This window comes from Homo sapiens, chromosome 12, assembly GCF_000001405.40.
Source record: "Homo sapiens chromosome 12, GRCh38.p14 Primary Assembly".
Lineage (NCBI taxonomy): Eukaryota > Metazoa > Chordata > Mammalia > Primates > Hominidae > Homo > Homo sapiens.
Genome location: NC_000012.12, coordinates 79146134 through 79173866, shown reverse-complemented (window position 1 = coordinate 79173866; position 27733 = coordinate 79146134). Strand labels below are relative to the sequence as shown.

At 35.8% G+C, this 27733-nt stretch overlaps 1 protein-coding gene and 1 long non-coding RNA gene across 17 annotated transcripts in view; one reads left to right on the top strand and one right to left on the bottom strand.

Annotated features, from left to right (window-relative positions):
* The window catches only part of SYT1 (synaptotagmin 1), a 588027-nt gene that overhangs the window by 278142 nt on the left and 282152 nt on the right, over positions 1–27733 (bottom strand). The gene's annotated exons all lie outside the window — the stretch shown is intronic.
* Positions 899–27733, top strand: LOC124902973 (uncharacterized). The gene is made up of 2 exons (XR_007063386.1): positions 899–19271; positions 25567–27733. It is a non-coding gene; the product is annotated as an uncharacterized LOC124902973 (long non-coding RNA).

The following is a 27733-nucleotide window of genomic DNA, read 5'->3' as shown; positions in this document are numbered from 1 at the left end:
ACACTTTATGATGTCTGCCTTATCCTTGCCTCCTAAATATTAATAAAGAAAGTCTCAAATCGTACTGACTAAATTCATTAAAAATTCACTCCAATGTTAACTGGGTCCTTTTTGAAGCCTGGAAATTCTTCTAGTTATTTCTTCTGGACGTTTTACAAGGCTCCTTATGGTAGCCCTTTTCTTTCATCTTGCCTGTTTAATTTGTATTCCTCTTTTAAGCCTTTCTCAGATACTATCTTCTCTCTGAATTATTTCCTGATCATTCCAACCATCTGGAATCTTTCTTCTTTGAATTGAAATTCATGTTGTCTCTTTTAGGATGGGAACACTTATTTTTACTCTTCATATTCCAACCGAGTGATGGGGAATTTCCACTGCATGCACTAAAGGGGAAAAAAGGAGCAACATTTACATCTTTTGGGATCCTTTCCTTCATCCATCTTGCCCAGGTGGGGCAGTGGGGAGGATGCTTGGCCTAACTGACAAATTTGGGGGAAGAAATTAAGCACGCTTAGTCCAGGACATTTAGGGTTCTTACTGTCCATCTGCCTACCTCCTAAGAGGCTGCATGCTGCTCTATCAGATGCATAGTGAGCTTACAGGGAACTTGCAGGGGAGCATTGCTGATCTGAATTGTAAGCTCAATTCAAGGAACCAAATTGGGGATACACATTTAAGCCCATAATGCAAAAAGCTACTATCCTGATCTGTAGCAGCTTGATACTTTGTTCTACCTCTTAGTTGGTTCAGGACTCTGATGTGAAAAGGTAGAGATGCTATTAATCAGTTCCCTAAAATCTCAAGAGGTTTTATATACCTTTTCTGCCACATTATTTTATTTCTGGACAGGCCAAACTCCCTTTTTTTTTTTTTTTTTTTTTTTTTTTTTTTTTTTTTGAGAGCAGGAACTCTAGTAACCTGAATTACATGTAGTAGTATCTTGACACAAACTTATGGAATTGAACTATGAAGCCAATGTGAGAAAGGCATCTAGAGTTTGAAACCCAGTATTATCAAATGATCATAGTATTTCCAAGGGGAGATGCTGCTAACATAGGCTTAAGAGAAAATGGCTTAGTCTGTAAAATAAATAAGGGAAAGAAGTTACAAAATAATGAGAGATTTCATAGAAGTTTCATAATCAAAACTGTTTACAGATAACTATAATTCACTAGAAAATTGACAAATCTCAAGTGTTGTGACTGATTTTCTTAGCTCAAAAATTTAATTTAGAGCATTATAAATACCATCATATTAGATTGCCCCACATAACTAACCCCATTCTTTAGGGAAAATATTATAAGATAGAAGAAAGAAAGCAAAACTAGTAACATAATAAAAACAACAATAACAGCAAAAAGCTCAAAAAAGATTTAACTAATATTTTCCAATTGCCAAGGCCTGTCTTTAAATAGACAATAAAATTATCTTATCACTATTCAGATAGCATCTTCACATTTTTCACTATAATTTTACTCTGTGTCCCAGTAAATGTCTTACCACTTAAAATTGAAGCATTATAACTCCTTTTTTTGGGAGCAGGCACTCTTCATGTAACTGTTCATTATAAAATGAAGTCTCAGTATACCTAAAGTTAGGTTATTCAATGTATGCATTTTATGTTTGGAAAAAAATTTAAAATATGAGAAGTTTAACTGTCTAGTTCAAAGCATTTAGAACCAAGCAGTAGTTGTAAAACTCCAATGAAATGCAATTATTATTGTGAACTTAAATGTGTTTATATCTCTATTTAGAAATTACTTAGGCACTTGGAAAATTAATTTTGAATTTTTCAGTTTTTACAGTATTTTTCTGTCATTAAATAAATAATTAAAAGAGATAAAGATTTGCATGATATAGTAGTAACAATCAAGATACCTTTAAAAAATAAGTGATCTCTTTAAATCCAGAAATTCTAACAATAACTAGTACTTATTGGACATTTATAATATGCCAGATACTGTGTAAGTGCTTTCTCAACATGCTATCATTTAATCCTCTCATTAAAATAAGGAGGAATACATTATTATTAAACCGATTTTATTAATAATAGGAGAGCTGAGGAGACTGAGGTTTGGAGAGATTAACTAGTTCATCCATGTTACACAGCTAGCAAGGAGTATAGCCAAGATCTAAACCCATGTGGTCCAACTCCAGAACTTATGGTTCTAATCATTTTTTTTTTACTGTGTACCTCCTTTGGAAAATCATGCAGTGGTTTTGGCAGACTAAGCCTTTACTGAATAGAATAAGTGAATTATGGAAGGAATATATAAAACATAGTAAATGGAATTAATTTGAAAGAACTTTTTTATTTATAATACACAAGTCATGTGAAAGCCAAATGATTCTTCCTCTTCTATAGTTATTTAGTAGGAGCAAGAATCATCTTCCTTAAAAATATTTCTACTCTTGCCACATAAAGAATAAAATACCTAGGAATACAGCTAACTAGGGAGGTGAAAGATCTCTACAAGGAGAACTGCAAACCACTGCTCAAAGAAATCAGAGATGACACAAACAAATGGAAAAACATTCCATGCTCATGGAGAGGAAGAATCAATATCATGAAAATGGCTATACTATCCAAAGTAATTCGTAGATTCAATGCTATTCCTATTAAACTACTCTTGACATTCTTTACAGAACTAGAGAAAACTATTTTAAAATTCATGTGGAACCAAATAAAGACCCCAAATAGCCAATGCAACCCTAAGCAAAAGAACAAAGCTGGAGGCGTCACACTACCCAACTTCAAACTATATTGTAGGGCTACAGTAATCCAAACAGCATGGTATTGGTACCAAAAGAGACACATAGACCAATGGAACAGAATAGAGAATCCGGAAATAAAACTGCACACCTACAACTCTCTGATCTTCAACAAACCTGACAAAAACAAGCAATGGGGAAAGGACTCCCTATTCAATCAATGGTGCTGGGATAATTGGCTAGGCATATGAAAAAGATTGAAGCTGGACCCCTGCCATATATAAAATCAACATAAAATAGATTAAAGTCTTAAGTGTAAAACCTCAAACTATAAAAACTCTGGAAGACAACCTAGGCAATACCATTCAGGACATAGGTATGGGCAAAGATTTCATGATGAAGATACCAAAAGCAATTGCAACAAATGTAAAAATTGACAAATAGGACCTAATTAAACTAAAGAGCTTCTGCACAGCAAAAGAAACTATCAACAGAGTAAACAGACAATCTACAGAATGGGAGGAAGTTTTTGCAAACTATGCATCTAACAAAGGTCTAATATCCAGCATCCATAAGGAACTTAAACAAATGTACAAAAAACCCCACAAACAATCCCATAAAAAAGTGGGCAAAGGTCAAGAACAGACCCTTTTCAAAAGAAGACATACATGTGGCCAAAAATCATATAAAAAAAGTTCGACATTACTGATCATTAGAGAAATGCAAATCAAAACCACAGTGAGATACTACCTAACACCAGTTAGAATGGCTAGTATCAAAAAGTCAAAAAATAATGGATGCTGGCAAGGTTGTGGAGAAAAAGGAATGATTTTACATTGTTGGTGGGAGTGTAAATTAGTTCAGCCATTGTAGAAGACAGTGTGGCAATGCCTCAAAGACCTAAAGACAGAACTACCATTTGACCCAGCAATCCCATTACTGGGTATATACTCAAAGGAATAGAAATCATTCTATTATAAAGACTCATGCATGTGTATGTTCATTGCAGCCCTATTCACAATAGCAAAGATATGGAATCAACCTAAATGCCCATCAATGATAGACTGGCTAAAGAAAATGTGGTACATATACACCACGGAATACTATGTAGCCATAAAAAAGAATGAGATCATGTCCTTTGCAGAGACATGGATGGAGCTGAAGGCCATTAACCTTAGCAAACTAATACAGGAACAGAAAACCGAATACCACATGTTCTCACTTCTAAATAGGGGCTAAACGATGAGGACACATGGACACATAGAGGGGAACAACACATCCTGGGGCCTTTTGGAGCCAGGTAGGTGAAGGAGGGAGAGGATCAGGAAAAATAACTAATGGGTACCAGGATTAATACCTGAATGATGAAATAATCTGTACAACAAACCCACATAACACAAGTTTACCTATGAAACAAACATGCACTTGTACCCCTAAATTTAAAAGTTAAAAAAAAAGCTCTACTCATACCTCTCTCCTTCTCAGAAGCGCATATGGCAAATCCAAATGGTGTCCTTTCAAATCTAGGTGCAGCTAGATTTGGTCACATAGTTCAAATCTGCTTGTAACTTTTGCAGGTGAATTTGAAACTTCATTGATTCCATCTTCTTCCAGAGGAGTTTTTAAAATGTTGTTTGCCTCACTACATGTCATAGGCCTTCTCTAGATCATTCTGCTCACAAATTCATGTGATAATAAGCAGATCGCTAAATAAGATTGTATATATTTCTTTTTTCCCTGCCTAAGTTCTTACATTCTTTCTAGATTTTGAAGCATTTTTCATACCATTTATAATTTATACTTTTGTAAGTCATGCATGTATATATTTTATAAGAGTTTTCCAGTGAATAGTAGTACATTTAATGCAGTTTATAAAATTTGGTGTGGATAGTTGACTGCTGCTTTGCTAACTATTCTTCTGTGAATTTTTGGAGCCATAAAGAAAGAATAAGAATTACTTCAAAAAAATGAGGCACTGGAATTAATGGGTTAATATCTGTAAAGTGTTCTTAGGATGGCATTTTTTAGAAAAACATTTGCAAATGGAGAAAATCACAGACTTCCTGCTGTCCCTTGATTCATCCATAATTTCAATGGGACTCTCACTTAAAACTATCTACATTGTTGAAAACCCATTTAATTTCTCATTCACAAAAGCATTCAACTGGTGATTGCTGCAAACAGGGAAAATTGCTGCTCAAGTGTTCCAGATGCCTTGAAAAGAATGTCGAAAACTTAAAGATGAGGGAATTAATGGCCACAAAGATATGGGAAAGCTATTTAGAAACTTGACTGTTGATTATTATCACTGAGGCCTCGTTAAATTAGAAAATGTTATCTGCTAATTAAGGCAAACCTATAGATAATTACCCTCTCATCTCATTTTATCTTATACACATTCAGTAAACAATGTCTGGTTGTGACCTCAAAATCACATCCTTGCTAACCTCAAACAACATGATAACTATGTCCAAGAGCAAGAATTTCCAAAGACAAAGCTCCAGTTTAAAACATTTCATGAAAAAGACCTCAGAAAATTGTGTTATTTTCTCACTGTAACAAACTCTGTCCTTTGTCTTCCCAGTGACTATATCAGAAAAATTTAAAATGTAAATTTAAAATTAAAATGTCACCAGTAAAAACTAGCAATATTCTGTGTGAAAGAGAATAGTTAAGTTTAGTGCTGGGTGTGCCGTCCCATCTTTGCCAGATCAAACTATCACTTGGTGGGTTTATTAAGAATAAAGATTACTGAGACACTTAATAAACTCTCACTTTTTTGAGACCCAAGCATTTGCCTGACACGGTTTTGGTTCACTTGTGTTGATTATAATGCTGAATCTTTACAACAACCCATTGAGTTAGGACTTCCCTCACAGATGAGGAAACTGAGGCTTAGGGAGGTAATCTGACAACTTTCACTCAAATAAGGCTCTAACCAGATCTAGTTGTCTCTCTTAAGCTCCCTGTCTCTTTACATTTCTAAAGGAATAACTAGAAGACAAAGAAGTTAAGTACATACATATGTATTAGACCAGAGGTCCCCAAACTCCTGCCAGGGATGGGTACCAGTCCATGGCCTGTTAGGAACTGGACCGCACAGCAGGAGGTGAGTGGCAGATGGAGAATGAGCATTACTGCCTGAGTTCTGCCTCTTGTCAGATCAGCAGAGGCATTAGATTCTCATAGGATTGTGAACCCTGTGGTGAGTGAACCCTATTGTAGACTGCACATGTGAGGGATCTAGGTTGTTACGCTCCTTATGAGAATCTAATGCCTGATGACCTGACATGCAACAGCTTCATTCCCAAACCACCCCATTCCCAGCCCGCTGCATCCCCCAGGGAAAAATTGTCTTCCATGAAACAAGCCCCTGGTGCCAAAAATGTTGGGGACCGCTGTATTACACTATAAGCATAATTATTCTTAATTCTTAATGTTTTAATTGCAATTTATTAGATTTTGGGGGAAAGTATAGCCACAAATATTCAGTCCCTGACATTTCACCTTCTTGTTTCTTTGGTAAAAATAATTAAAGACCATTTTCCACATAGTAGGCTTAATAAGTTTCAGTAATACATTCTAGGGTAAGTCATTTGATATTTATTCTGTGATTCTTCGTATTATCAAATTTTATGTTTCTCAAGTATATAAGCTTGAGGGAATAGAAGTAAACATTTACATTCTTTTGTAGTATACCTTTCAAATCCATTTCCACTACACACAAGCACACACAAACACACACATTCTCCCAGAAATCAGGACATAAGACAATGCTTTCTATACAACTGATTCTCAATAAAAAGTATTATTCAGGCTAGGAATGAGATTTAACCATAAAAGTGGCTTATAATGCAAATTTTAGTTTTGGGTTTATTTCCTTTATATCTTGTAGATACCCAAAGTATGCCCTACGTCTTCTTGAAATCCTAACATTTTCAAGGGCAGGACTTTGTCCTTTTCATAGGGAATCTGAGATCGCAATATGGTAAGTATTCAACAGAAGAACTCAGTTCAATTCTCAATCCTTTCTACATAGATTTTTCACTTAAACAATTGTATTTATTTTGTTGTAAATGTCATTCCTTTACTTATGCCATATTTAATAAGTACTCTATTAACAATCTGTTACACTATTAGCATTATGCTTCATTGTTTATAAAGCACTTTCATTATAGATCTCATTTTGTTTGAGGTGATTTACAAAACAGCACTGTGGTAGAAATTATATCCTCGTTTTACATGTAAAAAGTATGACACAGAGGAATTAAATTTAAATGATTTACTCAAAATAACATGGCTAGCAAAACTGAGTTTTTTCAACTACCAAGTCCAAGGATCCTTCCACTGTGCAAAGGCATCTCTAAAGCTTCCCGTATAATCCAACCAACATTTGTATAGCATCTGGAGTCTTTCATACACATCATCTCATTTGATCCTCACAAGACCCAGGGAGGTAGGTATTTTTATACCTATTTTGATGTCAATTGCATTTCTAAAAATAGAAGGAGAGCATGTTATCCCCCAGGGTTTAGGACTATTTGTGATGCTATTGAACCATTACTTGGGCATCACACCATAAAAATAAAATTAAATAAAATTTTGGTCTAAAAATGACCTAGATGGCTATTCATTTTCTCATTTTTTCTCCCTAAAATATTCTTCTTCAGAATATTACCTTTGTCTCCTAGTCTCTGCAGTGTATATATCAGTTTAGAGCTTGGGCTTCCCTGAATAGAATATGAAGAGACCAATATTATTGTCAGCTTATGAATTCTATTCTATGCATTGCATTAAATGTTTATATTCATTATTGAATTGTATTCTATTGCAATTATGATAGAGTTTACCATAATTGATGTTTTAAAAAATTAATGATGAGCAGAACCTGACAGACTGACTCTGACAATTGGTATGTGTTTCAAAATTCTAAATTGCCTTCTGAAAAATTGTTTTATTTGTATAAAACAGTGATTTGCAAAAGCAGGTCTAATGGCTCTTGAGTTCCAGATGGCTTACAAAGGTAAAAACAAATTTTATAGGTACTGTTCCACGTTTTGAATAATCAAATCTCAGAATTCCAAGTTGACGAATCTGACATAATATCCAATTTTGATTATTGTCTTTGGTTTGCCTTTTCCATTTGAAAATAAAGGATAATGATTTCTTGTAAACAGTAATATGTTTTTGTGCAATAAGGCAGGTAGTCAAAATGAGAAAAAGTAAGAAAAAATTGAATTCCATGGGTGATCTTTAGCAAGTAATGAAATTTAAGTTTCCTAGAATATTATTCTTCAAAAGAAAATGTGCTTTAGCACTCATTCTATTGTAACATACCTAATATGTATCTTTATAAACAGTGGAGAAGGTGGACAATTCAGCTCCCATTTAATATTTACTCAGTTCATGCAATAGGGTAGCAAAAGATTAAGTTATGTTATAAGGACTAAAAACAATCAGATTAATATTCACTTATTTAGCAATGGGAGTCAGGTCTTCAAATAGCAAGTGCTTGATGATAAAAGCTCTTGAGTTATTATAAGGATAAATAATTGTTCTAAATTGCCATCTTCCATTGCAATCAAGATAAATTTCTAAGGCGTCTGCTTGAAGAATAAATTTTCAGTGAAACACATTTTAATCGAAGAGTCTTCACAGTAAACCATCAAATAAAATCAGCAACCATACCGTCCTTAAAGAACATTATAATTTTGGAATACATTTAGTGAACAAAACCTTTGCAACACTGTTCTAAATCTGATTTGGGATGGTGCCTAGCCCAGAAAAAAGCTTTTATTTGTGAAGAATACTCTCAAGCTACAAATATGTAATAAATTTGGCTATTTAAATACCACATAAGCTATGTAATTAATCAACAGAGATTTTTTCTAACTGTTCAATTATAATTTTCAGCCATAAATGACATAGAAAAACAGAGTTAAAAATTGTTTCTAAAGATAAATGCAGCAAAAATGTCACCCAGAGCAAGCTTCTCTTAAATGAGCTTAGCTGATACTTGTCTAAGAAAAATTACGTTTCTAAACAATAATGGGACACTAGTCAGCAAAAATTTTGAAGATAATGAAAAAAAACCAACAACCCTATTATTGCTTTCCTCTCACTTCCACAGGGATTCCAGTATAAGATTCCTCTCTTTCTACGGTCTTATCAAAATTTGTGTCCAACTCCTTCACAAAAGACCAATGATAGCCAAAAGGTTACCTCTCTAGATATTTGCCTTTTACTTTATATCAAAGTCTTAAACTACAGGGATAAATCTCCCTCAACAGAAATTTAGGTATCCGCCGGGTTCTGTCTACATCACCATTTCCCTTTGTTCATTTGCCATTTCTTATTTATTAAATGTAAAAGCTGGATATTTCTTGATTCATTAAAAAATAAATTTAAATCTAATCTATCCACTTTGCAAAGCAACCAATGATCTCCAAATGCCTGTTACTGCACAGCCTCTCTCTTGAGAAACTAATATTTTGACATATTAAAAATAATTAAACATTAAATTTCCAAAGACAAAACAAGAGGCTCAACAGAGATTGCAGCCACTGAGAGAAGCAATTACTAAGGATTTCTCTCTATATTGTTTTTTTCTGGGCATGCTCTAAGGCAGGTAAAGGGACATAGGTCTTTCTCTTTATTCTCATCTCATGACAGCAAAGCCTGATGTGGATGAAAAAGTAATAAATATTTATTCGTACTCACATACTTTTTAATTTAGTGAGGCATCCGCACAACTTCTTGCAACATTTTTTGTAAAAGCAAATGGAAAAATGAAGAATGAGAGGGCAATCTAGTTTAGATGAATTAATAGTTGGTGGAACAATGGAAGTTTTAAAGAAAAGATGCCCACTAAATTCTCTGTGAATGCTTCAAGCTAAGTGGTCCTCCGCAGTAGTGTCTTGGGACACCAGTAATTTATCCCCGATGGTAAAGCACCAACATTTCTTAATTACTTCCTTTAAAAAGTAAAACTGATTTGATGTTGTCCCTACGATAATACCATGCTTACTTTATTTTATGCTTGTGATCTTATTTTTTTAATGGAAAAGAAGCTTCAGAATTAGGAGTGCAATGGGTATTGTGAACATGATACAGATATGTATGTCAATTATCTGTGTCATGGTGGAAAAAAGATAGAAAGTCATACAACAATGGCACAGCCCAGAATTCTTTCTCATTCAATATCCTACCAACAGCCTGATTGAAGAAATGAAGGTGTATGTTGAGCTCTAAAGCACCTACTTAACAAACAATGAGAAAAATGTTTGAAAAATACTCCCCTTGATTTAAAAAGGCTAAAAAGTATAGACTTAGTAGTGGACTATGAGGGAACTCTGCTTTAGGGTTTGATACATGCCTGCCAAATTAGCTCTTTAGAACACAGAACACAGGGTATTCATTGGTGATGGCGGGTGCTGCTGTCCAACTGGTAATTTATTTGACTACACCAAAGGAAGGGTCAGCTGACCTGCAGAGGAACGAGAACGGCAATAGAAAGAGCAGAGTTTTCAGTGTAGACAGGCTTTTTGGAAAATTGACCCTGACAATTACTGACCTTGTGAGGCTACTCAAGTTCTTTACATCTTAGTTCCTTGGCTGTGAAGTCCTTCTTTAGACCGTGTTATCAAGGAATATAGGAGACGACTTACATAAAGTGCACAGCATAGTGCTTGGCACATAGTGACCCCTTAGGATGCATGAGCTACTTTCATTATTGATACTGTAGCCTACACAGTTCCCTGAAAGGAAGCCATGTGGAGTGCAAGGCCCCCATGAGCCAGATAAATTGATGTTTATGGGTTAGTTCTTTTAAACAGAGGAACAGGAAGAGAATGTTCTCTATGATCAAACATATGTTTACAGTTGCCAGAAAGGAATTTCCTAATTACCATGAACACTGAAGAGGACTTAAGGCTGGAGTTCTGGATGATAGCAGAAGCAGCCAAATAGATGAAATTACTGAAATGACACCCTGTGTGCAGTAGGTGTCCCACTCAGTGTGACGTCTCTGGGTGCATATACATAAGGCAGGCAAATACAGATAATGCTGTGGTTATTTGCAGGGTGCTGTGGGGATAGTTCTTAAAGGCTAATGTAATATTCTAATTATGGATCAATTCTGATTTGAACCTTTTAAAATTGTGTGCACCTTGGTGGATGAGATTTCTCAGGAACATTCATTGTATCTGTGCACAGTACATATAATGAATTGTAGATCCTTATACTTGAAGCTGTGGAAAGAGACAGATGATTGAAAACTCTGCCTGAAATCTAGAATAATGGGCCCACATAAATAAAATAAAGTTTATTCAACTCTATCTACACCATAAAAAATTAATAGAGAAAATGTAAAGTCTTGCATTTAATTTCAAAACAAAATTGCTGCTTCTTTGTAAGTATTGGATGAGTTAAGATTTACCTCGGCAGTTAATGTGAAAAAATAACTAAGGGTTTTTATGGACTAAAACTCATTAGGCACCAGTAAAATGTTGTAAATGCTAAAAAAAGAAAAAGCTAATGCAATACTAGGTTACATTAGCATATAGTGCTCAGCACAAAAATAGTAGCAGTTTCACTGAATTCTGAGAAGGCCAGAGAGAAGCTGCATGATTTTGTTTAGCTCTAGATGTCATATTTTAAGAGGAACAGTGAATAGAATGGTCTCTGTTCAAAGGAGAGTATAAAGTTTTGTAAATCAAGCAACATAAACCGTTGAAGGAATTGGAAATATTAAATTTCGAGAATATAAGGCAGTGTGGTGTCATCTTTTGAAGTGCATTTTGCCCACAGGGATTTTTTCTTTAGCTTGCATAGTATTTAAAATAATGAGTCACATTATCAATGGGAGGCTTCACCTAATATTTTAAGTTTCCACCTTCCCTTACAAAATCTGAAATTTGAGCAACACAGAGCTTTGGGGGTTTGCCACCTTTTTAGATGGAGTTTTACTCTCCATTTTGCAATAGTTCTCACCATTCCTTATTGTACACAAAACTGAATTCAAGTATCTGGTGCTCTTAACATCATCTTACATTGTTGCTTTCTTATGGTAGAGAAATACTTGTTTCCATGTTTCAGTCAAAATACAGAAAAATGAGAATAGAGTAAGAAGATCACATATTTCAAGAAAACCTTTTCTTTGTGTGTGGAATCGAACAATATGTCTTCATAGTTAAAAGAAGCATGCCAGTGTCAGAAGCATACAATTCCAGATATCCTTAGGGAAAGACCCAGCTAGGGTCTCTCATATGTTACTTACTTGTGTCTTCTGTAAGCATTTGGGTTTGATATTATACTCTATAAAGAAGTAAGAGCAATGTATAAAAATTAAAGGAGGATAGGCTTTGTGTAGGCTGGGTGCAGTATGAAACATGAGGGCTTCCAAGAAAGAGCCTCAGGCTCAAATCCCTACTCAGTCACTTACTAGCTCTGTGACCCTGGGAATGTTACTAAACCTCAGATGTTCTTCAGTTGTAAAATAGACAGTTGATTATCTGTTATGCAGTTATAAGTATTTTAAATCAGATGTAAAATGTCTTACACATGTCAGCATCCATTATATAGTAGTAGTTTTAGTATTTTATTAAATAGTATTATTTGGCATAAGGCATGCATCACTTAACAACGATGGAATACAGTCTGAAAAATGCATTGTTAGGTGATTTTGTCACTGAGCAAACATTATAGAGTGTACTTACACAAATCTAGATGGTATGGCCTTTTACACTGCTAGGTTATATGGTGTAGCCTTTTTCTCCTAGGCTACAAACCTAGCATGTGACTGTACTGAATACTCTAGGCAAAACTGTAACACAATGGTAAGTATTTGTACTTTAAATGTATTTAAACATAGAAAAGGTAAAGTAAAAATACAGTCTTATAATCCCCCACTTTTTTGAGACAGGATCTCACTCTGTTGCCCAGGCTGGATTGCAGTGGCACAATCTTGGCTCACTACAACCTTTGCCTCCTGGGCTCAAGTGATCCTTCTGCCTTAGCATCCTGAGTACCTGGGACTACAGGTGCACCCACCATACCTGGCTAATATTTTTTGTGTTTTTTAAAAAATAGATATGGGTTTTTGCTATATTGCCTAGGATGGTCTCGAGCTCTTGGGCTCAAACGATCCACCTGCCTGGAACTCCCAAAATGTTGAGACTCCAGGTGTGAGCCACTGCGCCTGGCCCAGTCTTATAATTTTATGGACCACTATCATAAATGCAGTCTGTCATTGATCAAAAGGTCATTATGCACCACATGACTTCTGCTAAGTATAGCTTACTCTAAGGTTCTATGCTTGAAACCTTTACTATTTCTTTATATTTTTTCTCTTGGCAATCTTTTATGCCACAGCACCAATTCTCACTATGAATAGATGATTTGCAAATTTACATCTCTAGATTTGCCCCATCTCCAGAAATATAGACCACATTTTCAACTATTCTTGGGTCATTTTCACTTGATGTCTTGGCAGCACTTTCAACATAGCATATCTAGAACTGAAATTTTTACTCTTCTCCAACTAAACTGCTATATTTCTTAACTTCTCTGTATCTCTTATTGGGACCATTTTTCTCTCAATACCTAAAGATCATCAGTTATCAAGACCTAGAAATGACATCTTCACAGTATGTCTTGAATCTGTCTCCTTTCATTTATTTCTAATGCTTTCCCTTAGTTCACGTGAACATAACTTCTTAGCCAGACTTTTTATTTTGTAAGTGGCTTCATCCACTTCCATGGTTTCATTGACCACATCACTTAGATGCATCCAAAATCAATACCTCTAGTTCTATCTTCTTTTCTGAGCTAGGGCCAATATTCCAACTGCCTGCTGGGGATCCCACATGTAAGTCCTACTTATATTTCAACCTCAGCATGTCCAAAGCCAAACTTGATGTCATAGCCCAACATGATCTTCTTTTTGCCCTTTTGGTCTTAAAGACATTACCTCATCAGCCATCTTAGACATCACTTAAATGTCTCTCCCTCACCATCTGCATTCAGTAGCACAACAAAGCCTAATAGTTCTATTTTCTAAATATCTTAAAACATGATCATTTCTTCCCTTCAATCACAACCGCCATTTATTCTCAACATCTCCATTATATTTCCATGTAATACTCAGTAAGTATTTTTGCAACACTCAATAAGTATTTTTGCAATTAATTTATGTTCTCATTTACTCAGTGGCTGGAACCAGTGATCAATTCTACTTTTGCCTAAGTTATTATACAATATTTCATAGATTCTGAGATGCATTCCCTGCTACATTTTAACTCCGAGAAATTGGAATGTATCTAATAACAGACGGTGTTTAACTGGAAGTATTTTTCTTTCTTAGGATTTCTTAAAATTAATGTGCTCTACAGTCGATGGTGCCTTAGATTTGATGAAACATGCTAATGGTTTTCTGTGTACAGTAATCTCCCTTTCTCCATGGGGGTTACGTTCCAATTTCCCCAGTGGAGGCCTGAAGCCTTAGATAGTACTGAACCCTAGATATACTATTTTTTTCCTACATATACATACCTATGATAAAGTTTAACGTATAAATTAGGCACAGTGAGAGAGTAACAACAATTACCATAATAAGATAGAACAATTATAATAATATACTGTAATAAAAGTTACATGAACATGGTCTATCTCTCTGTCTCTCTCTGTCTCAAAATACTGTAATATTTTCAATCTGTGGTTGACCACAGGTAACTGAAACCTTGGAAAGCAATCCACAGATAAGGGGGGACTACTCAACCTTCCCAGCCATTCTGTCTTCTGTTTCCTCTTTCTGTCTTCACTCCCCAGTACTCTCTTTGTCAGTCCTCAGGATAAGTCTTAGAAAACAAAATGCTGAATATGATATGTATGCATCATCTCTAAACCTACCTAATTTCTACATTTTGCGTTTTCTATAATTTGGAGAGAATCCACCAGCCTATGCTCCACCTTACTGTTCACCTCTCTTTCCTTGCTTTGGAAACCTTTGCTGTCTCTCTATTGTTTGCAGGATAAAGTGCAAACTCTTCAGCAAAGCATAAGAGGCCTTTTCCAATCTGGTCCTAATGTAATTTCCCCGCCTTTCTTCATTTCTCTGACATACTTTAAATGCCATTTTTTACAGACTTCATCAAGGTTCCTTGAACAAACTGTGTTGCCTCAGGACATGCTACATGTTTTGCCTTGAAATACTTTTCTTTGACTATAAATTCAACCTATCTTTTATCAATTTTTTTTTTTTGAGACAAGGTTTCACTTGTCACCCAGGCTGGAGTTCAGTGGCGTGATCACAGCTCACTGCAGCCTCGACTTCCTGGGCTCAAGTGATTCTCCTGCATCAGCCTCCAAAATAGCTGGGACTACAGGTGTGCTCCACTACAGCCAGATATTTTTGTATTTTTTGTAGAGATGGGTTTTCACCATGTTGCCCAGGCTGGTCTTGAACTCCTGAGCTCAAGCGATCCACCTGACTCAGCCTCCTAAAGTGCTGGGATTACAGGTATGAGCCACCATGCCTGGCCTTTTATCATCTATTATTATTACTCAGAAATATTTCCTGGTTCCCCTGAAAGGGTCACTCTCTTATTTTAGGTGATTATAGCAGGGGTCCCCAAACTACAGGCCATGGACCAGTACTGGTGTGTGGCCTCTCAGGACCAAGGCCACACAGCAGGAGGTGAGTGGCAGGTAAGCAGCAAAGCTTCATTTGTATTTACAGCCCCTCTTCATCGCTCACATTACTACCTGAGCTCCACCTCTTGTCAGATCAGCAGTGACATTAGATACTTCCAGGAGGGCCAACCCTATTGTGAACTGTGCATGTGAGGAATCTGGGTTGTGTGCTCCCTATGAGAATTTAATGCCTGATGATCTGTCATTGTCTCCCATCACCCCCAGATGGGACCATCTAGTTGTAGGACAATAAGCTCAGGGATCGCACTGATTCTACATGATAGTGAGTTATGTAGTTACTTGTACATATGTAGTTACTTGTAACATATGTATATATGTTACAATGTAATAATAATAGAAATAAAGTGCATGATAAATGTAGTGTGCTTGAATCACCCCGAAACCACCCCGTTCATTCCCCACTGGTCCATGGAAAAATCGTCTTCCATGAAACTGGTCCCCAATGCCAAAATTGGGGACTGCTCCTTTATACCATGGTGGATGTAAATGTGGACTCTGGAGTCAGCTGCCTGAGTTTGAGTCCTAGTTTCAGAGGTATTAATAAATAAATTAGTAAGTCACTTAACCTCTCTGTGCTTTATTTTCTCTATTAGTAAAATGGGGGATAATAATAGCAACCATGTGAAAAGTTGTTGGGAGAATTATTGGGTTAATATACTTAAATCACTTAGAAGAATTCCAGGGCATAGTAAGGTTAAAGCTCTTAGTACAAAGTCCTATAATTGTTTGCCTTTCCAATTATAAAGCCAGTCTTTCACTGGCAGTGACAATATCCTGTTTTTTCCTTATATTCTTAATACCCAATCTAGTTCCTGACATTTGTCCAATACTCCATAAGTATTTATTAGATGAACAGTACCATCAAACCAACATGGAATGGAAGCACATATTTATCATATAAGGTCAAATGAGTACATTATTTTTGTCAGGTTCTTTGTACAGACAGAGTTAAACATGTTTAGGTTTCATTTAAAGTGGGGGACTTTTTGTCACTTTCTATTTCAAAAAAGAAGTCTCTAAATAGCGACGGGATGGAGGTTGATTCTGAAGTAGCTATTTTGGTTTTTTCACCTAGTGTCAGTCTGTCTTTTGCAATTTTTAATTGCCCAAGGTGCATAACCTGGTGTCATACTTCAGCCACCTGCATCAATGCAAAGGGTGAATGATAGTCATGCCTATAGGATGTGGTGCTTTTAAAGGTCACTGCTAAAAAGTTCCCTTGCAATAAACGGCAAGCAGTTCACTTTGTCTTGCGTGACAAGCTTGCCTGACAGTGGAAAGGAGAGGGTACTAACTGCAGCAGGTGCAGAGGTGGCAGGAGCAGGGATGGGTGACCCAGACCCAGGATCAGTCTAGGCAGTCTACTTGAACTCTACAAGTTCCTCTTCTCTGCACCTCACCCTGACACCGCCTTTCCCTCCTCCTCTTTTCCTCCCCATCAGTCTGTCTCTCTCTTGCCTAAGCCAATTCTAGAGGTGAAGCTCTGGACACTTCCTGCCTGTATTGGTGAGGGGAAAGGTGACCTGGAAGTGTTTGCTTGTGACAAGTGACAGTCATGCTCGCCAAGTAGGACCCTTCTCTGAGTGAAGTCACTGAGTACATCTAATCAGAACCTTTAAGTTGTGTTAAATTTTGATGATTTTTGATTAAATAATTGAATTAAAAATTAACTGAACAGGCCAGGTGCGGTGGCTCACGCCTGTAATCCCAGTACTTTGGGAGGCTGAGGCGGGCAGATCACAAGGTCAGGAGATCAAGACCATCCTGGCTAACACGGTGAAACCCTGTCTCTACTAAAAATACAAAAAATTAGCCAGGCATGGTGGCATGTGCCTGTAGTCCCAGCTACTTGGGAAGCTGAGGCAGGAGAATTGCTTGAACTTGGGAGGCAGAGGTTGCAGTGAGCTGAGATCATGCCACTGCACTCCAGCCTGGGAGACAGAGCGAGACTCCATAACAACAACAACAACAAGAACAACAACAACAACAACAACAACAACAGCAGCAACAACCACAACAATTAACTGAACAGCCTACAGTTTTCAGGCAGTTTGGGGGTAAGAATAGTCTCTGAAGGCAAACAACCTTAAAGGGTTACACACATACACAGATAATTTACCCGTACAAGCCATCTGTGTATACAAGGAACACCAGTGAGCTTCCCTGATTAAAATGAGGTCATACGGCCTCGCTCACTGATGGTGGGCTTTCTAAGTCAGATAAACCTCTCTGGATTAGCTTCACAATTCTGTCAGTTCATTCTGTCAAACCCTATTGAGTTCCGGTTTTGTCACTTGTAAAATGAATAATAATAATACTCATCTTGTCCAAGGTTGTTCTTAGTATGAAGTCGTATATGTAACACACTTGGCATACGGTACTTGATAGATATACAATGACCAGATGTTAGACCTAAGTAGATTTTAATATGTTTTTCCTCTAGGAAGATTGGTTAGAGACTGAGTACATGATTTAGTAATTTGCTCCACACATGTAACAATGGCTGATTAGGCAATCAAGTTATCCACTGAGGTTATGTAATTGTTAACAAATTCCCATCTCACGTTGGTTGGTTGAAAGTATTCAAGTTCTACTCTGTGAAGAGGAAATACACAAGAGAGGCCGGAAGGCAACAGAAGAATTCCCTTTGGCTTTTTCCCTTCTGAAATGGAGTCATCACTAAAAGTCTGTCAGAGAAGTTTGTTCCATTTTAATGCACATTTTAAAAGTGAAACTAGATATTTGTAATTGTGATAAAGAATGCATTGATGGAAACATAACTGTAATAGGCTGTCTTTTCTGATATATAAAGTACATTAAAACATATTTTGTGTTATTTAGGGACATCACTGTGAATCTAGGACACTACTAAATTACTCACAGATTTTAAACAAAATCTTTACAGTTGATTTGATGCCTAGATGAGAAGAAAGTTTTACCCTATTTTAAAAGAATATAATGTCAACAGAGAAACTCAGGCATGTTTGGATTGTTAATGCCTCAGAGACAATGATTACAGCTGAGTATGGATTTCTATATTAACACTGGGATCCTAGGGAGTCCCTGCCTTCCAACATCTGAATTTTTAACTAATGAGGATGAACAGCATCCCTTCTGATATTCAGAGACAGAGCCTCTATAATCCCTCTTGGCAGCCCATTCTAATATTTGATTAGCTCTTCAATAAAATGATTTTTCTTATATCTCTTTATAATCTCTTGCTTTATTTTTATCTCTCTTACATTTGTTTGGTCTTTCATGGCAATGAACATAGTTCTTTAGCTTGTCCTTTAGCAAGATGTATTTTTCTGTTTTTATAATATATTTTCATTGTTTCCATTAACTTGATGTTGATATACTTTTAATTTCTACACTTGGCTCATAAATTTAGCTAAATATTTATTTTTATGTTTTCTTGCTCATCAGATCCTGAGCTTAAGAGCTTAGAAGAGTGAAATTGTGGTGCCATGGCCATATGGCTGTTTCATGTGGGAGTAGAGATAATTTCCTGGCTCTTTCATATGTTTCTTGGTAGATGTATTCAGTAATAAGCACCTCTAAGTGGTGCAATATGCCTTCAGTGGAGTGAAACAGCATTTTTTTCCCCCAAAACCTTAGTTGTCATGTTGATTCCAAGGCCTCAAGTCCATATGCTTTTCCCTCTAAACTTATCTTCACACATTCCAGGTGAAACTATGAAGCAATATGTCCTCAGTGACCCTTTCACGAAGTGTTTGAAGTTCTCTCCGTTTGTTACTATGTGGTCCTCATTTAGTTATCACATGCCCCAACACCATTATTTTCTAAATGCTTCACTCTACAGGGATTTTCCTGCTTCTCATCAAAATGTAAGTAATCATTGAATTCAATGTTTTGCTCTTTTTCCCCCCATTATCTCTACCTGACAGTGGTGTAAAGCATAGATTCTGGGGTCAGACTGCTTCCTAATCTAGCTCCAAAACTTACAAGCTGTATGACCTTGTCAAGGTATTTAACTTCTCTGTCCCTCAGATCCCTCATTTATTAAAAAAAAAAAAGGAGAAAAAAACGTACCTATGTCATAGAGTTGTTTCAGGATTAAATAAATTCCTACCCATAATGTTCTCATAACAATGGGGTAAGTACTCAATACATGTTAACCAATATTTTAAGGTAACATTTAACTAAACTAAAATAATAGTTTTCTTGTGATTTCTGAAATTTTAGAGCTTCTGAAATTGAAGAGCTTCTGAAGAGCTCTTCAGTGGCTCTTTAACATACCTGTGAATATTTAACTCTGATATACACCACAGAAATTTAACCAAGAATCAGGTTAGTAGTAACATGAGCTAGTAGGTCTCAGCCTAACTTCACACTAATGATTGGCAGAATGTATCTGAAGTCTAAGCTATAGAGTGGACATCAATGGACTTTAAGTTTATAAAGTCAGGGGCTTGATTCTCAGATTTGTCAACTAAAATCTGCTTGGTTTTCATAGTTCTTTAATCTTTCTGAATGTCAATTTCTCTGACTGTAAAATAGAGACAACATTATTAGCAACAGTGATTTCCATGTGGGTACATGTTTTATATCCAACTGATAAACATTCAACTTGATTTTATTTCTGAACCTCAAATGTCTAATTGAATACATGGGCAGACAAACAGTAGAAAGAAAAATAGCACCATCGTAATGACTCATTTTAAGTAAAGACCTATGAACTTTCAAATTTTCTGAAGAAATAGTGATGACAATTGAATGATTTTTATGTCAGAGATTATCATCTATGAAGTCCACTTAACGAAGTAAAAGCATTTGAAAATAACCATTATAGTAAGAAGGGTTACCATTGCTGCATAGTTTGATTATCATAAGGCAGGATAATTTACATACAAAATGCATTATATCCTCTGTGCTTATGTTTATTTTTTCCAGTCATAATTAATGTGTCTGTATTGTTCATCAACTGAGTTTTTAACCACAGCCATCCTATAACATAGATTGCATTAGGGTAGCCAATAAACCATCAAAATTGTAACTCGATTTTTCTTTTAGGTAGTGAAACAGAACAGAGTTTTCTAACATGTTCAATGGCTCTTCTTCCGACCTACAATTTTCCAGATAGCTAGCTAGGGGCATAGGTTTATTGTTAAATTTGAAACCAGGTGAATTTGATCTGATTGGCATCCAATTGATTATAGAGATCATAAGTACTATTAAATTTAAGGTTTTTATTTTCCAGATGACAAAAGCTGAGAAACCTGTGAAATTAAATAATTTTGGAAATACCTATGTCTTGGGCTAGAACTCAGCCCCGTTTCCCTCAACCTCTCCCAGTGAGGGTTCCTTTTGAGTTTAATGCCTTTTTTGGGGTTGTTTTTTGGTCATCGATGACAACTTGGGAAATAGGCACTTATAGCTTATTGTCAAGATTAATGTAGCTTACCTTAAATTAAAGGGTCTTGAATATTCTTATATATAATGAGAAGGGTAATAATTTTCTTATATAAATGAGAAGGATAATAATAATGGGTAAAACCTAAGGTTTCTCCTAGGTCTTAATTTCTCTTACTTTTTTTTTTTTTTTTACATTTTTCTTGCTTTTTATGAAGCATCATCAGTTAATTAGTTTCCATAGTTTGGACCCAAAATGAAAGCTTTGCTCCTAGCAAAAATTTCTATAATACCCCTTTCACCTGTCCCTAGTCAAGCTTCCCTTTCCATTCTATTCTTCAAATACTTACTATGCTTACTTCTAAACCATTAATATTCCAAGCTGTGTCCTCACTCTCAGCATACAATTCCTTTCTCATTTTATAGAGATACCTCCACACAATTTCTCATAGAATAGATATAATGGATAAATATTTAGGTAATATGAGATTATATGAGGAATATATAATTCCTCACATAATATTCCTCATATAACAGATAATTCCTCTCTCATACATTTCCCTTCAGAAAATAGAGGCAAACAAACAACAATCTCCGTGATAGCTGGCACTTTTCTTCCACTTCTAACTGCCCTATACAAAGTGCAAAACGATTCTCACTTCATAAGGATTCCAACCACCCTTCCATGCCAATAGAAGAGGTATGTCTGTTTGTATCTCACTCCTTTCCACTGCCAACTTCCTATGTCCTAAAAACCATTCAGAGTCCTGCATCTCCCTCTCTCCTCCTGATCAAATTCTGTAACATATCTACATCATCACTTAGAACTGCCTTTTTGACCCATTGAAGTCTGGTTTCCACATTATCCCCCTACATCTGCACATTCTTTTCTCGCAGGTCATCTAAAGTCTTATCGTTCAAATTTCCTAAGTTTATTTTAATTTCTCTCCCTTTAGTAGTATCTGTCACAGTTGACTAATCTCTCCTTCCAGAAAATTTCTCCTCTCACTTCTCCTGTGACATCATTCTCTACTGTTCTTCTAGCTTTGTGCTCACTCTTCCTCAGTCTTCTTTGAAACTTCCTGAATACACACAGTTCTTTTCTCAGCCCTTTTACTATCTATACATTTCTGGGCCATGTCTCTTTTATGTGGTTTGACATTCAACTTTGCTGATAAGCCCCCAATTTCTCTCTCCTGAACTCCATATCATTTTCTCCCTTCTCTCGTCAGCACATCCCTCGTACTTTTTGGGACAAATGATAATATTACATCTCCTCTGTACTGCCCTGCTGTGAACCAGGAACTTGGGAGTGCTCTGAGGTTTGTTTTTACTTCACCACAGACATCTAATCAAGGTGATTCTACAGCCTAAATAGCTCTCAAACCATCAGCTCCTTTCTATACTCATAATCTTTGGTCCAGCTCATCAACTCGACTGCAATATTGGCTGTACCTGGTCAACTTCCCACTAGTCTTGTTGCTGTCCAGTCCAACCTTTTGTCATCATTAGGGTGATGTTTTTTATTATTCTCCTGATTAAAAACCATTAATGGCCGACTCTCTTCAGAATCAATTTCAAATGTATTAGCTTGATATATGATCCCTTCAGTGATGTGCCTCTAACCTGTCTTTCTAGGTTAGGTAGCACATATGAATTTCAAGTTGCAAATTCAAATGACAAAACTACTGCATTTATTTATTTTCATAAATCATCTTAAAACTGACTCCAAGTTCCCATTCTTCCTGGCAGGTGGGAATGTCAATCTTAGTAAATATGGAACTTTATAATCTCCAGGTTGTTCCGAAGTCCCAGGAATTTACTGAATGCCAAGCAGGAATGGAAGTTCCTCTGGTCATAATTCCTCTGCCAACCCTTGACACCTCTGACATGCCCAATTTCTCAGCCAGTGTGGTTTCTTCAATAGGTTTATCACCCCATCTTCCCTTTTCTTCATTCTGTCATTGGGACACAGGACTCTGAGGTGAAGCCAGCAGCCTCTGGGTCTGTGGCACAGTCATTACCATTGTCTTACGGTCCTGACAAACTAGCTCCCCTTTCTTATCTCGAGGAGTCGCTCTTCTTATTCCCTCCTTGTCCTCAAAATCATGCTCCCCTTTATTTTCCTTTTTTCTAGGCACTTAACGTATCTCTTCAATACATTTAAACTCTCATAAAAAACAAGAACTGCTAATGACTCCTGGCTGTTTCTCCTTTCTTCTCTGAAAAGAAAATGCCTTTAGACAAGTAATGGGTTACTTGCTCGAAATGGAGGAGGGCAACAACAAAATACAATATAATATCTTAAGCAATTATTCTGCAATACTATTCTATGAATGCCCAATCATTCCAGATTCCTTGCAGTTGATTTAACTTGCTCTGTGCTCTTTCTCACCTCTGCACCTTGGCATGACTATCATCTTGTTTTTGTGCCCTCCTCATCATGTTCACTTGGAATTTCTTTTATGACAGTTCAGTGCCCATTTAAAAATGGTCTGATCTGAAATATACATTATTATTAACTATGGTCTGTCTCCATGCTGTCCACTACATCTCAAAAACTTATTCCTCCTGTCTAATTGTAATTTGTATCCTTTGACCAAAGTCCCACTACCCCTCTTCTCCAATACACCTTTTGGTAAACACCATTTTACTCTACTTCTGTGAGTTTGACTTTTAAGAGTCCATATATAAGTGAGACCATGCAATATTTATCTCTTGGTGCCTGCTTATTTTACTTAGAATAAAGTCTTCTAGGTTCATTCATGTTGTTGCAAATGACAGAATTTCCCTTTTAATGGCTGAATAGTATTCTATTGTGTGTATATACCACATTTTCTTTATTCATCTGTTGGAGACTACAGTTAGTAATAATGTACGGTTCAAAATTGTTAAAAGAGTAGATTTTAAATGCTCTCACCATGAAACACTAGAATATGAACTGATGGATATGTTAATTACTTGATTTAATTATACCATGTTGTATACAAATATCAAAACATCTCACTGGACCCCATCAACATATACAATTACTATTTATAAATTAAAAATAAAAAATTCAAAACTAGTCTAATCTGGGTTACATAACAAAACACCGTTTCAGACCTTTCATTCATTCACCCTCATTTACTTATTTCTTCAGTGAGTATGTATAAGTCAGCTACTATGTGTCAGAAATGATGCTTGGCATTGAAGATACTATAGTGAGCAAGAGAGAAGGTGTGGGGCCAGTGTAGAGTTTATGGTCTATTATGAATACAGATTTGAAAAACGTAATTGCCATGTAGAATGTGGATCATTTTAACAGGGGAAGTTCAGTGTGCTAAGGCAGTCTATCACAGGGGATATAATCTAGTCTAGCAGTCCCTGAGGCAGTGATGTTTAAGCACCTCCCTTACAGCACTCATCACCCTATTTTTAAATTTATCACTTATCAATCTTTTCCATAAAGTATGGATTCTTCAAGGGCAAAGGCAAGGATTTTCATCTCTTTCAGATTAAAAAAATATGTTATATGTTACAATGACCTAAGAAAAAGGCTATTTAGGAAACTATTTTATGATGCTAAACATTGTTAGGGATAATTTAGAAAAATTACCATTACAACCTTAAAAGTGTCATGCAAATGATTCATTTTAGTTATAGAACTTGCAGATTAATAAATCCTAGAAACTACTTTACCCATAGTTGAGTTAAAAATCTTGACAGAAAAAACATATTTCAGTCATTTCATTTGAAATTTCACCTCCCTATATTTTAAGTAATATTTTCAAATAGCAATAAAACCAGTATTCACTTTCAAAGATACAAAACAAACACATTCTTCTTTCATAATAACATCTTTTTAGGTTAGAAGGGGTCTATAATTCAAAAGGTCAAATAGAAAATGTTAATGAAAACAGAATGTAGTCAAGTCAAATAAAGTAAAAAAATAAATCTAGATTTTGCTTCAGGCATTGTAAATCTGATTTAAACAGCCCTCTCAGAAGAATAAAGCTACTATTTACTCAAATATAAAGTAATGTTCTTATACTTATTTGCCAGTAATTCTCCTTTTTAACTTTAGGATGTAACATTCTTCCAAAGATAATAACTTAAAATAATCTTATATACAAGAACTAATTTAAACGATATTGAGACGCTAATTTAAAAACCTAGATTTAACAATAAAGGTCAAAAATCCTCATGAAATGACTAATTACCAGTGTTTAATAAGGAAAGCCAATCGGTAATCTCGAATATTAATGGTTTACAATCAAATTACAGACATTTTAATAGCAATTGAACAAGTCTATCATCATCATTGTTTCAAAGCTGTAGGGATTAATTTAAGTTTTTGCACATACAGATATAGCACCTCAGCCCTTTGGAAACTATAGTGCATTATTTACAATAGCCAAAGATCTGTTTCCATAGCATAGTGCCCATTTATGTTTCAAGGTGTGATTATTAAAGGTATGATTCTTGGACCCATGATATTCTCAATGATATATCAGTAAGAGCATTACAATACTCTTTATTTTTGTGAAATTGTGCCATCTCCATATAATTTACCGTGAAGCATGTGTCTAATAACTGATCGTTAGTTGAAGAGGTCAAAAATGATTCAGGAAAGACCTTCTCCTGAAATTAAAAGTGTCAATTTCAAGACCAGATAGCAATTTAACATTGGAATTAGTTTTGTACAATTTTACGGGAAAAAAAGATTATCACTGAAAAATATTTCCATGGTCTGTCCTAAATTGATTATTTTTACCTTGTGGTCTCCAGGGTTTCATAAAAGTTTTAACAGAAGATTGGAAGGAGTTTGCTGCCCACTCATAATGATGCTTCAAAAAAAAGTTCTTCGGAATGGATCAAAGGCTGTAATTTCCCTGCCATTTCTGTCCAATTTTCTTTTCTCCTAATGTTTTCATTTTTTGAAATGCCTATGATTGCAATCCAATTTTGCCCACACAGCACTGCATGCCTAAATGAACCATTTATCACAAACTTTTTGTCTTTTTGATGCGTGAGATTTTATTTGCTTAGAAATCTTTTTTTTCATTAATGTTTACAACTCAAGCTGCATTACAATTACCTTCAGTAAGTAATTACTACCTGTTGTGGATTATATTATTCTGTTCTCCAGATGTGGCATCAAAACTTCCTATTTCAAACCAATTATATGTTAGTGCTGAAATTCATTACTATTTCACCAAATACAAATTCCCTTATACATCCTTGAAAAATTTTACGTTTGACCCTCACCCTGACTTACAAATACTAAAACATTAAAATATTCAGGATTGATATTTCATATTTCTTCCTGTAGGTAATCTCAGACTTTTATGAACTCATTAGGTATAACAGTTCCTTTGTGTCAGTTGACATATTTTTAATCATTGTGATGGGACTGTTCAAGTTAATTATTAGCTACTTGCATTTGGTACTGAATGTATTGTAAGAAATGTAGTTATAGTTATCAAACTTTTGAGTTTAAGATCTGTTAATACTGTTTAACCTCACAAAGCCTACTTAAAATTGTCCAAATTTAAGTTACAATTATTGTAACGAACATTGTAACACTCTTTTTCCCCCAGTTTCAAAATTCACAAAAATATTTTAAAAATCAGTGTAAGTCTAGAAAAAAAATAGGCTGTACACCTTAAACATACTTCAGCTCCTTTCTTTGTCTTTTAATTTTCAAGAAAGTTTGTGATTAGGGGAACACTAAGAATATATTTTCTAAAGGCCTGTCTTTCCTTTTCATATACTTAGAAAATAAAGGAGATAATAGCTAAGAATAAATATTATATTAGCTAAGAGGTGGAGGAAGAGAGCAAATATGAAGAGTAGACAGCTTAATTTTTGGTAATGATTACAAAGATTCAGTTTACAAACAATGTGTACATTCTGAAGATTTATTTATTTTTTAAAGTAGATATATGCTGGCCGGGCACGGTGGCTCACACCTGTAATCCCAGCACTTTGGGAGGCCAAGGCAGGCAAATCATAAGGTGAGGAGTTCGAGACCAGCCTGGCCAATATGGTGAAACCCCTTCTCTACTAAAAATACAAAAATTAGCCGGACATGGTGGTGGGCGCCTGTAATCCCAGCTAATCAGGAGGCTGAGGCAGGAGAATGGCCTGAACCCGGGAAGCAGAGCTTGCAGTGAGCTGAGATCGTGCCATTGTGCTCTAGCCTGGGCGACAGAGTGAGACTCCATCTCAAAAAAAAGTAGTAGATATATGCTGTTTAGCCTTTTATCTCCTTTACTTTGTAGACACTTTACACAATTTTTTTAAAACCCAGGTCAGATCTAAAAACGTTCAGAAAACATCCTTTGATGAACTTCAATGGCCTCTGTTTATTCTTCTACCATATCATTTCATAAGGTCATGTTTTAAAGTTTATTATTTTCCAGAATTGTTGAAGTACAGACACTCCTTTTTGTTTAATTATTAATGTCTCCTGGCTTCTGAGGTGAATGTCTGGAGAAGATTAGCATTTCACACTACTCAAAGCATTGTCTTCTCAAACTGGAAGTTTGGGTTAAGGCCTCTGTACTGTGGTGTGGTGGTGTTGTAGGCTTTGAAGTCAGAATGAGGGTTGAATTCTAAAACTTTCATAATTATCTGTGTGGTCTTCAGAAAGGTAATGAACTTTCTTAGGCCTCAGTTTTCTCTAAAGTGACGAAGATTGAATGAGACAGTACAGGGAAAGAGCCTGACATACAGCTGACAGTTCCAGTCCTTCCAATGGACTGTTTCCTACAACAACATTAATTGACATTGTCTTGTAACTTGCGTTCTACTCTAAAGTGTGAGGACGGAGTAGTGTGTTGTCTGAGGGTGTATGAATGTGCTGCCTGTCTGTGGGAATATGTTTAGGGCTGAAAGATGGTTAGGACACAGGCTGTACATTCTCATGATTAAAAACTCCTTGAAGTCTGAA